The sequence below is a fragment of the Homo sapiens genome, chromosome 8 (assembly GCF_000001405.40).
Source record: "Homo sapiens chromosome 8, GRCh38.p14 Primary Assembly".
Taxonomy (NCBI): Eukaryota; Metazoa; Chordata; class Mammalia; order Primates; family Hominidae; genus Homo; species Homo sapiens.
The window spans coordinates 73,142,186-73,154,616 of record NC_000008.11 but is presented as its reverse complement, the minus strand read 5'-3'; positions in this window follow the sequence as shown (position 1 = coordinate 73,154,616).

The window sequence follows — 12,431 nt, the reverse complement described above, 5'->3', positions numbered from 1 at the left end:
GCAGGTGTGCACGACCATGCCCAACTAATTTTTGTATTTTTAGTAGAGACAGAGTTTCACCATGTTGGCCAGGCTGACCTCGAACTCCTGACCTCAAGGGATCTGCCTGCCTTGGCCTCCCAAAGTGCTGGGATTATAGGCGTGAGCCAATTTTTTTTTTTTTTTTCTTTTTTAAGCCGCTCTGTCCATTCTGTTCTGGCTGACATGGCCCAGCCTTTTATTTGTGTCAGTCATGTTGCTTGCCAAAAATCAGAAATTGTAGGTGTTTATCACAAAATCATCAGTAATCATGTTGGACAATGTGTTTTATCTCTTGGCATCTAACTTTAGGTAAAAGCTTCAAACTTGTCTTGGAAATGGATGGGTCAGTAGACTGATGTTTTTTGGGTAAAATTAATTTCAGCTGTAAATAACATAGACCCTCTCCTCACCCCTTCTAAAAGGTAAACAAGGTAGTTGCTTAATTATTTCAAACATATAAGAATCCAGAACTAGGTAGTGGAGGGTGTGTGTTGACTTCATTGTCACCAGGGATACAAAGCTCCTCTTGCCTCACCGTCATCCATCCCTAGTGAGGCAGGAGAATAGGGTCTGGAGGCAGAGAACCTAAGGCTGTTTCAAGCTGACTTCCTAGATCTAAATCAAAAGGAAAACCCCAAATTTCCAAGCCCATGTAACAAAAGGACCAGAAGCCACTCCCTTTGCCACATCCCCCTTTTCTGTGTAGCATAGGAAAAATTAAAAGTACCTCTGATTTGTCCCCTCCCACAACCAATCAGGCTGGTCACAGGCCAAGTCTTCATTTGCATAGGAATATAACTTTGTACCTTCACTTCAACCTCTGATTGGTCACTTTCCACACCAATCAGATGTTTGCATAGGGTGTAATTTTGTAACTTTGCTTCAGCCTCTGATTGGTCCCCTCCCACAAGCAATCAGATTGATGGTGGCCACTACTTCATTTACATAGGGTGTACACCAAGTAACCAATGGGAGTGCATTTTGTTCAATTCTTTGTTCAAGACTCCAAGAACCTGGACACCCTCCACTGGTAACACTAGGACATGGCCTGCTTCTTCATGTCCAAGGTTAGCCATTTCAACCACTTCCCAAACAGCAGGGTGGAAGAAGTGAAGGGGGAGGGGTGAAACTCCTCCCTTTTACAAAACTTTCTGGAAATCCCACACAACCCTCCTGCTTACATCTCATTGGCCAGAACATAGTCAGATGGCCACACCTAGCTGGGAAAGAAAATAGGAAATGCTGGGTATTGTATTGCTGTAGCTGGGTGTTGCTGTCCCCATCTAAAAAATAGAGCTCAGTTAATTTGATAGAGGAGAGGATGGATATTTGATGGACAACTAATAATCTCTGCCTCAAACTTGATTTCAGCTATCATAATCTTTGACTCACTTCAGAAAGCAAAGCAACGATATAAATAAATGAAAGAAACATGCCAAAATATCATGCTTGGGAAAAAAACTTGTTTTCTGAATGCCAGGCTCTAAAATTTCAGAGATATTTAATCAAAAGTTTATAGCCCAATTTAGGGCACTGATGTGTCTAACACTCTAGCCAAATATGTATATGTGTATGTGTGTGTGTGTGTGTTTATGAAATATAAAATGTATCTGTTTATTTAAATTGTTAGAATGCCAATTAACATTTGAATAAGGCAACTTTTGCTTTGAAAGTTTGACAATGATTTGTAATTGTCCTATAGTTATATTTTTTCAGTGTTCATCATTTTAACATTATTTATTGTGAAATATACATGTAAGAAAGTGCAGAAAACGTGAACTTAACTTACTTTTAAATAGAGCTTTAGAGTGCCTCTTTATCATTATTTAGCTTGACCCTCTGGACAGCTCTGTGAGGAGGGAATGGGAGACATCACACTTTCTAAGTGAGGAAGCACAGAAGGGAGATGACTTTCATGAGGTTCGAAGACAGAGGTGGATTCAGAGCTTGAATCTACGTCTTCTGCCTCAGAGCCCCTCGCGTGTTTACCACATGCTGCCAGAGACTAGAAATTCCATGAAATCTGTCAGAGATAGAAAGAGGCGGCACAACTTTCTGGAAAATTATTGGTAAGTAAAAGTGAACAGAGAGGACTAGTAGTCGCTGTTCATATTGAAACATAAGATATCCCAGAGCTGTGGAGTCGATGCATCGTGAATTACCACTTGACATAAACAGTGCCTTAGTGCGAGGAACATTGCAAAGCAGCTCTCACAGATTTAAGATTTTACTATAAATGAAATAAAGGGGGAAAGAAGGACATATCTTTGGCAACCCTTTCTCCTTGTCACTATTTTTGGTTCCTCATCTGAAGAAAGTTTGAAAGATTTCCTTGTAAGGACAAAAGAAAAAAATCATGCCATGGCCTCGTGACCTCAGTAGAAACAGTCATGAGTGAATGAATATTTCTCTTCTCTAGCACTTGGGAAGAATTGGTGGCAGACTGTAAAGACTTCCCACCCACCCAAATGGCATAAACGAATGAAATCAGCCCAGCGATTTCAAAAGGCCGTCTCTGGGACTGATTAATCTCAGCATTTCAGATACAAAATGCCCCCGGGATTTGGATAAGAGTGCACCCAAAGAAGAAGGCAGCCTTTTCTTCCTTAAGTAGACATTGGACCCGAGCCCTTAGAAGAGATGTTTGGTGATATGTATTTGGTTTTCATAAACCCTTTCATCTATGGAATTTCTTCCAGATGGAGGAAAGAGGAGAAGCAATAAAGCAAATGTCTCCCTCCCGTGTTTTTGCAGATTAGTTGTAATTGTGTGAACAAGTCACTGAACAGTGAGAATAAGTATAATCTTTCTCTCACACAGGAGTCAACTGACCCAGCTCATTTATTTATTAAACATACAATGCTTACTGAGTGCCAGGTGAAGACTTTACAGATAGTAATTCATGTAATCCTCCTACAACCCTCTGAGGGAGGTATTATTTACAAGAAAGGAAACTGAAACACTCAAAGTTTAATTAACTGGCCCTAGTCAAAGAGCCTGTAAGTGGAACCAGGCAGGGACCATGCCCTGAACCACCATTTATTCTGTCTCTCATCTTCCTGTATAGGGAAGTCCAGGAAGAATGCCTATCTGAAGACAAAGTCACTTGGGAGCAGGGATTATGTATTTATTAGTTTCACTGCCTTATAGATATATAATATACATATATATGTATATAGTATATGGTGTAGAAAACTTATGCTTCTCTTAAAAAAGGAAGGAAAGAAAATAGGAAGGAGGGAGGCAGGGAGGGAAGGAAGGGAGGGAGGAAAAATGGAGGTAGAATCATTATATACCAGAAAGAGAATCCTGGTTTGGACATTCTCTCAAAGGCTGCTGAAGATGAAGCTATCCTCAGTGTCTTCATTTCTTTAAACCGGGAGGAAGGATTGTCACAACCAACCTGCTTTCACTATGAGTTGTTTATAAATATAAGTCAAATTAAATAATGTATATCAAAGCACTTTTAAAAATTCTGGTATATATGCTCAAGTATTTTTGTAATTACTATAATCAAGCCAGCTTACCAGTTTTTGCTTTCGATTTTTCCTTATCCCAACTTACTTTGACTTTCGGGTAGAAAAAAAAGACTCAAACTAAAATTCTCATGTTCTCCAAAAGTCATTAGAACTAGCTGCTAATCTTTTTTCCTTTAGCTGAACATTCCAAATATTATACCACTTCTTCAAACACAAAACATTCATTCTTATAATGACACCTTCACAAAGGAAACATTTTCTGAATGGCATTCACGCAAAATCTTAAAGTATACTCATCTTCAAGGCTTCGAAATGTTGGATTGGCTCACAGTTGTTCAGCCCTTCTGTTTATCACGAAGGTAGGGGTGATCACCTTCTGATTATCTGTATCTACAGCAGCAGAGTCTTCCCTACAGGAAGCTTTATTCTCTTTAGGCCTCTTCCTGTCAGTCAGCTGTCAATCACAGAGCAGGGCTCATGGCCTTTGAAGTATCTGCTTTCTCTCTTTCTCCTTTTCCTAGAAGAGTTTCAAGGGCAGACATCGGGGCCCTGTCAGAGGAGGATTGGGACTGAGGGATGGGGTATCCGGGTTTACAAAATCTTGATTTTTGTATTGAGACAATCTCGCTCTGTTGTCCAGTCCCCTGCAGTGGCACGATCTCGGCTCACTGCAGCCTCCTGGGCTCAAGTGATCCTCCCACCTCAGTCTCCTGAGTAGCTGGGACTACAGGTGTGCACCACCATGCCTGGCTAATTTTTCTATTTTTATGGAGACTGGGCTTTGCCATGTTGCCCAGGCAGGTCTTGAACTCCTGGGCTCAAGCGATCCGCCTGCCATAGCCTTCAATACTACTGAGACTACAGGCATGAGCCACTGTGCCTGGCCTGAGTCTATGAAATCTTTAGCTTCAGATTTGTTTATCTATTTGCTCATCTGGGTATCCCACAGGCATTTCCAACCCATCGTGTCCAAATCTTTTTTAACATTATATTTGATTATAGATTTAGGGGGTACATGTGTAGGTTTGTTACCATTATATTTGATTATAGATTTAGGGGGTACATGTGTAGGTTTGTTACCATTATATTTGATTGTAGATTTAGGGGGTACATGAGTAGGTTTGTTACCATTATATTTGATTATAGATTTAGGGGGTACATGTGTAGGTTTGTTACCATTATATTTGATTGTAGATTTAGGGGGTACATGAGTAGGTTTGTTACCATTATATTTGATTGTAGATTTAGGGGGTACACGAGTAGGTTTGTTACCATTATATTTGATTGTAGATTTAGGGGGTACATGTGTAGGTTTGTTATCATTATATTTGATTGTAGATTTAGGGGGTACATGAGTAGGTTTGTTACCATTATATTTGATTATAGATTTAGGGGGTACATGTGTAGGTTTGTTACCATTATATTTGATTGTAGATTTAGGGGGTACATGTGTAGGTTTGTTACCATTATATTTGATTGTAGATTTAGGGGGTACATGTGTAGGTTTGTTACCATTATATTTGATTGTAGATTTAGGGGGTACACGAGTAGGTTTGTTACCATTATATTTGATTGTAGATTTAGGGGGTACATGTGTAGGTTTGTTACCATCATATTTGATTGTAGATTTAGGGGGTACATGTGTAGGTTTGTTACCATCATATTTGATTGTAGATTTAGGGGGTACATGTGTAGGTTTGTTATCATTATATTTGATTGTAGATTTAGGGGGTACATGTGTAGGTTTGTTACCATTATATTTGATTGTAGATTTAGGGGGTACATGTGTAGGTTTGTTATCATTATATATGATTGTAGATTTAGGGGGTACATGTGTAGGTTTGTTACCATTATATTTGATTGTAGATTTAGGGGGTACATGAGTAGGTTTGTTACCATTATATTTGATTGTAGATTTAGGGGGTACATGAGTAGGTTTGTTACCATTATATTTGATTGCAGATTTAGGGGGTACATGAGTAGGTTTGTTACCATTACATTTGATTGTAGATTTAGGGGGTACATGTGTAGGTTTGTTACATGGGTAGGTTGTGTAACGCAGGGCTTTGGGTTTCTGGTGAATCCATCACCCGAATAGTGAACACTGTACCCAGAAGGTAATTTTTCAAGCCTTGTCTCCCTTTCACCCTCCCGGCTTTTGGAGTCCTCACTGTCTATTATTTCCATCTTTATGACCAAGGTACCCATTGTTTAGATCCCACTTACAATTGAGAACATGTGGTATTTGATTTTCTGTTTCTGCGTTATTTCACTTAGGATAATGGCCTCCAGCTTCATCCATGTTGCTGTGAAGGACACGATTTCAGTTTTTATGGCCGTGTATATTCCATGGTACATACGTACCACATTTTCTTTATATAATCCACCATTCATGGGCATTGTGTCCAAATCTGAGCCCACCATCATGAACCTTCTTCTCTTCCTCTGTCCCCATTTCAGTGACTGATACCACCATCCACCAAGCCCTGGAGTCACTGTGGCCCTTCTCTCTCCCTCACACCCACAGTCACCAAGTCCCCCTGATTCTGCCTCCTTAGTGGGTCCATCTCGGTTTGCTTTCAATTCTCCTTCCATATTGTGGCTAGAGGGATCTTCTGAAACTAATTTGTTCATTATTACTCCTCTGTTTAAACAGTTTCAGGGGCTTATTCCTGGCATGGCACAGAGCCCTAACTCCTAGCCTGGCAGAAAAGGCTCCTAGTGACCTGTTCCCTGCCCATCCTGAGAAACCTCAGCTCCTCCTGCTTCCTGGCACACACCTGCACTTAGCCACACTGGCTGCATTCAACTGCAATTACCTCTCCCTCCTTTTTCCACCTGTCTAAGTTCTCTGCGACCTGGAATACTCAGCTCAAACATCCTGTCTCTCCAGCCTGCTGCCCAGGTCCTCCCTGCTGCTGCCATAGAGACCCAAGTAAAGCCCTTGCCATGTCATATGCTGTTAGTTTCCCTTTATCTATTTAGAAGATCTTCAGGGACAGGAGCTGCTTGTTTATCTTTGTATTTCCAAACCTAGAATAGAGTATTGCACCAAATACATGTGCCAAAAATGTTACTGAATGAATAAATGTATTCTAATATTAATTGTCTACTGCCTACAGACTCAGCCAGTGCCACTCTGCAGGGCACACTGAATCCCACACAACATAGCCTCTGATCAGGACACCCACTTTACACAAAGGGAGTGTGGGTGGGAGCCCAGGGCCATGGAATCCACTGAACATATCACAAATTGTACCATCTAGAAGCGACTGCCTCATCATGGAACACAAGAGCAGCCTACTGGATACACAGACACAGCTGAAGATTACACTGAGATGCAATTATCTGAAAGGATAGGAGTGTCCTCAGACACCTCTCTATGACACTGTGTAGAAAGAATACACAAGTGTGGGAACAAAGGGGTGGAAGTGGGAGTGCCTGCACTTACTATCACTTCCAGTGATCCACTGGGGGACTTGGCACTTCTCACCTCCTCAACTCTGGGCTCTGCAGTGGAGGTTCTCTTCCCTTAAAGGGACACACTCTTGCCAAGGGACCCAGACAGGGCCCCACTGCACTGCAAGCTGCAGCTGCCTCTGGGACATGTTAGACTCCTTGTGTCCAGGGACCAACAGACAAGAGAAGGAATCACCATCTTTGCAGGTGTAATTGCCCCTGTCAGGCAGGAGGGGGTAGGGTCACTTTTGCACCTTGAAGCAGAGAAGAAGACATGTGGGCCCCAGATGCTCCACTGAGCACTCCCTGTGCTCACTTTGGCAGCTGACTTTGGTTTGGGCACCCCCCATTGGCCTGGCTGAAATGATTGTAGAATTGTGCTGCCATTCAGGATGCTTTCTGGTCAACTTTTCTTCCTTCCTGCTCTCCTTTCACAGGTGTAATCCTTGCATTGCAGTTTGGTCTTTTTTTTTTTTTTTTTGAGATGGGGTCTTGCTCTGTCGCCCAGGCTGGAGTGCAGTGGAGTGATCTTGGCTCACTGCAATCTCCGCCTCCTGGGCTCAAGCAATTCTCCCGCCTCAGCCTCCCAAGTAGCTGGGACTACAGGTGTACATCACCATGCCTGGCTAATTTTTGTATTTTTTGTGGAGATGGGGTTTCCCCGTGTGGCCCAGGCTGGTCTGGAACTCCTGAGCTCAAGCAATCCACTCTCCTTGGCCTCCCAAAGTGCTGGGATTACAAGCGTGAGCCACTGCCCCAGCTGTTCTCTTTATTTTTAACAGGCATTTCCCCTAATAAGTCTGTTGCACTTCTAATCCCATCTGGCCAGCTGCTTCTCAGGGGACCAAGACTGCACAAGATGCAGTCCTTTTCATGGGCATCTGCTTTTTAAGAGATTTCCTAGAGCAAGCACTCTTTAATAAAATAAGTTAATGCCAAATAGTGGAATTGTAGGCCTGGCAGCAGGCATTCGGGAGTGTCTTTCACATGCTCTAGTGCTGGTGACTAAGCTTATTCCTAAGGCTGGCTGGCCTGGAGCACCTTCTCCCTCAGCAGATGTGCTTGGCTTCTGGTTGGCTTCTTCTTGTAGCCTGGTTGGCTACAGGTCATGTCAGGCTTTGGAATCAGACAGATGGGCAATTCATATCTTGGATTTGTGGAACCTTACCCCCTGGTAAAATAGGAGCAGTAACACTCATTAGGTTACTGGGAGGATTCATATAGAAAATAAATGTAAAGTGTGTAGCATACAGTAAGTGCCCAATAAAGTGTAGGTAATCATACATTATTCTTACTCTTAAACCTAGGAGACATCTTAAAGACACCTTTAAAATCTACTAATTCTAGGAGAGAATGGTGAGGCTAATCCTTTTTTTCTACTGAAGAGCTGAGTTTTTAGAAATGCGGTTGGCTTTTGTTTATTTTTTTTTAAAGGCCATTTCCAACTGAATAGCCTATCATTTGTATAACTGTGGCTGTTCATCAAATGGACATAAACACACAGCAAGAAGCCTGCCCATCTGCCTTTTGGTGTCTGGGCTCACTGTAGCACAGGTCAGTCATGCCACCCATCTACCAAACTGTCTTAGTCTGTTTGGGCTGCTGTAATAAACTAGTGCACACTGGGTCACTTATCAATAGAGATGTACTGCTCACATTTCTGAAGGCTGGGAAGTCCAAGGTCAAGGCACCAGCAGATTCTATGTCTGATGAGGGCCTGCTCCTCACAGATGGGGCCTTGTTGCTGTGTCCTCACGGGAAGAAAGATGGAAAAGGCAAGCAGGTCCTCTAAAGCTGCCCTGTTTTTTTGACAAAAAGAAAGAAATTTTATTATATATCTAAGAAAGGACTTGTATACAAAGTGCATAAAGAACAATGAAAACTCAAGAAGGCAACCCAGTAATATGGGCAAAAGATTTGAAACGATGTTTCACAGGAAGATATAAGAATCACCAAAAGGCACAGGAGAGTATGCTCAGAAATATTAAGTCATCAGGAAAATGCAAATAAAACCACAATGAGATACCACTTTCACACAGTAAAATGGCTTAAATTCAAATACCAAGCAATACCCAGTGTTGCTGTGCACGTGCTGCAGGTGACTCTCTTGTATGTTGTTGTTGTGCGTATAACATGCAGTCACCTGATTTGAAAACATCAGATTTCTTGTGAAGTGGATCACAAACTTATGAGATGATTCTGCAGTTCCATTCTGAGGTATCTACCCAAGAGAAATGGAAATGAATGTTCTTAAAAATTCTAGTCCAGGCTGGGTGCAGTGGCTCATGCCTGTAATCCCAGCACTTTGGGAGGCTGAGGTGGGTGGATCACCTGAGGTTAGGAGTTCGAAACCAGCCTGGCCAACATGGTGAAACCCCGAATCTACTAAAAATAAAAAATAAACAATAAACTAGCCAGGCATGGTGGTGCACACGTAGTCCCAGCTACTAGGGAGGCTGAGGCAGGAGAATCACATGAACCTGGAAGGCAGAGGTTGCAGTGAGCTGAAATCGTGCCACTACACTCCAGCCTGGATGACAAAGCAAGACTCTGTCTAAAAAATAAAAAATAAAAATTCTAGTCTAATAACATTCAAAAGAAATTTACTTATCCCCAAAATCCTAAACAACCCTTTTGTCAATCAAGAGGAGGATAAGTAAATTGTGGTATGTTCAGACCAAAACCTCTACTCAACTATAAAAAGGAAGCTACTGATGCATGCAGTGTGAGTGAATCTCACATTGTGCTCAGTGAGATGTGTTAAACACAAAAGGGCACATACTGTGTGATTTTAATTATATGAAATTCTAGAACAGGCAAGGTTAACCTATAGAGAGAGCAGTCAGATGAGTGGTTGCCTGGAGTGGGGAGTGAAAGGGAGATTGACTGTAAAGGGGAGTGAAGGAGGTGAAAATGTTTTATACTTTTGTCAAAAGTCATCTACTTGATATTTCAAATAAGTAGAACTTATTGTACATAAATTATGTCTCAATAAAGTCGGTTTATAAAAACTTGAGTGCTTTTTAAAAAAATTATTTTAAGTCCCATGATACATGTGCAGGATGTGCAGGTTTGTTACATAGGTAAATGTGTGCCATGGTGATTTGCTGCACCCATCACCTAGGTATAAAACCTGTTATGCATTAGGTATTTATCCTGATGCTCTCCCTCTCCCACCCCGCCCCCACCAACAGGACCCAGTGTGTATTGTTTCCCTCCCTGGGTCCATGTGTTCTCATTGTTCAGCTCCCACTTATAAGTGAGAACATGCAGTGTTTGGTTTTCTGTTCCTGTGTTAGTTTGCTGAGGATAATGGCTTCCAGCTCCATCCATGTCTCTGCAAAGGACATGATCTCATTTTTTGTTATGGCTGCATAGTATTCCATGGTGTACGTGTACCACATTTTCTTTATCCAGTCTACCATTGATGGCCATTTGGGTTGATTCCATATATTTGTTATTGAGAATAGTGGTGCAATAAATGTACACATGCATGTATCTTTATAATAGAATGATTCATATTCCTTTGGGTATATACCCAGTAATGGGATTGCTGGGTCAAATGATATTTCTTGTTCTAGGTCTTTGAGGAATCACCACACTGTCTTCCACAATGGTTGAACTAATTTATATACTCCTGCAAACTGTATATTATAAAAGCATTCCTATTTCTCCACAGCCTTGCCAGCATCTATTATTTCATGACTTTTCAATAATTGCCATTCTGACTGGCACAATGAGATGGTATCTCATTGTGGTTTTGATTTGCATTTCTCTAATGATCAGTGATCATTAGAGCTTTTTTTCATGTTTGTTGACCTCATAAATGTCTTCTTTTGAGAAGTGTCTGTTCATGTCTTTTGCCCATTTTTTAATTGGGTTTCTTTTTCTTGTAAATTTGTTTAAGTTTCTTGTAGATTCTAGTTATTAGATGTTTGTCGGGTGGATAGATTGCAAAACTTTTCTCTCTTTCTGTAGGTTGTCTGTTCACTCTGATGATGGTTTCTTTTGCTGTGCAGAAGTTCTTTAGTTTAATTAGATTCCATTTGTCAATTTTTGCTTTTGTTGCAATTACTTTTGATGTTTTCATCATGAAATCTTTGCCTGTGCCTATGTCCTGAATGATATTCTTCTAGGGTTTTTATAGTTTCGGGTTTCACATTTAAGTCTTTAATCCATCTTGAGTTAATTTTTGTGTAAGGTGTAAATAACGGGTCCAGTTTCAATTTTCTGCATATAGCTAGCCAGTTCTTCCAGCACCCTGTATTAAATAGGGAATCCTTTTCCCATTTCTCCTCAAGCCCTTTTATACTGGCACTAATCCCATTAATAAGAATGGTGCTCTCATAAACTAATTACCTCTCAAAGGCCCCAACACCTTGAGAGTTAGGCTTCAACATACAAATTTTGGGAGGATATAAACATTCTGACCATCGTGTGAACCTTCCACAGAATCAAGTTCTGCTTCATATAGGATGCCAAGCTCAGCACTTACCTTCACACAGGTTGCCAAGGTGTCACATTTACCTATTCCTCTAATAATTGGGCAGTCAGCTGGCCATGCTTCTTGGAAAGAAGTGATTTCATCTGGGTACATGATGATATAATTAGACAGTGAATATGTGTCTGCTCTTGGTCGTCTCCTACTCCCAGGCCTTGTAACCTTTCTCTGGAATCTGTTCTTAAATGCCCAGTTATTAGCAGCCAAGTGATGAAATAGAAAATAGCCTTAATTTCTTAAAAGGAAAGGGGAAAATATTACTGAAGTGGAAAATAGGATGGAGGAACAGCTTGAAATGGTTCCCGATGTTTGGGAAATTCAGGTCATAGTAAAGTAGAGACTATTTGTGTTATTTTTTCCATTTAAAAAAAGTTAAAAAAAATAAATGAAGTCTTACAGACTCTGAAAGAAATTTCTATCCAGAGACCACAAAGACTGGACCTTAACAATGCTTTTTAGAAATCTGGATCCATGATAATAATGCCTGGTTGGGGAAAGGGATAATATGTTTGCAAAGAAACTAGACTTTTTATCATGTTTGGGGTTGAGTCTGCTATGGGATCTTCTTATTTTTATTATGCATTGTACATCTGGCAGAGAGAAAAGCTAGACCCAGAAGCCTGAATAATTTTGGGTAATGAACAAATACTTCTGTAATGAACAAATACAAAATTTATATAATGATGAATCAGATGAATGGTTAATTTACAATTAAAGTCAGCAAATTTCAGTCCCTCAAACAAATGTATTCTATAGATTAAATAAACAACTCACTGTTTTACATACCTTGAGATTAAAGTTTATGTTTCAGAAAATTTTTTTTTAACTTTTAGGACCATCCCAGAAAGAAAAGTACATGATGAACTTGTGAATTTCTTAAGAAGCTTCTTGTTTCTTTTTAGGAAACACAGCAACGGTCATGGTTCATATAGTTCAAATAAAAATAAGATATTTTCCCTCCTGTCTGATTT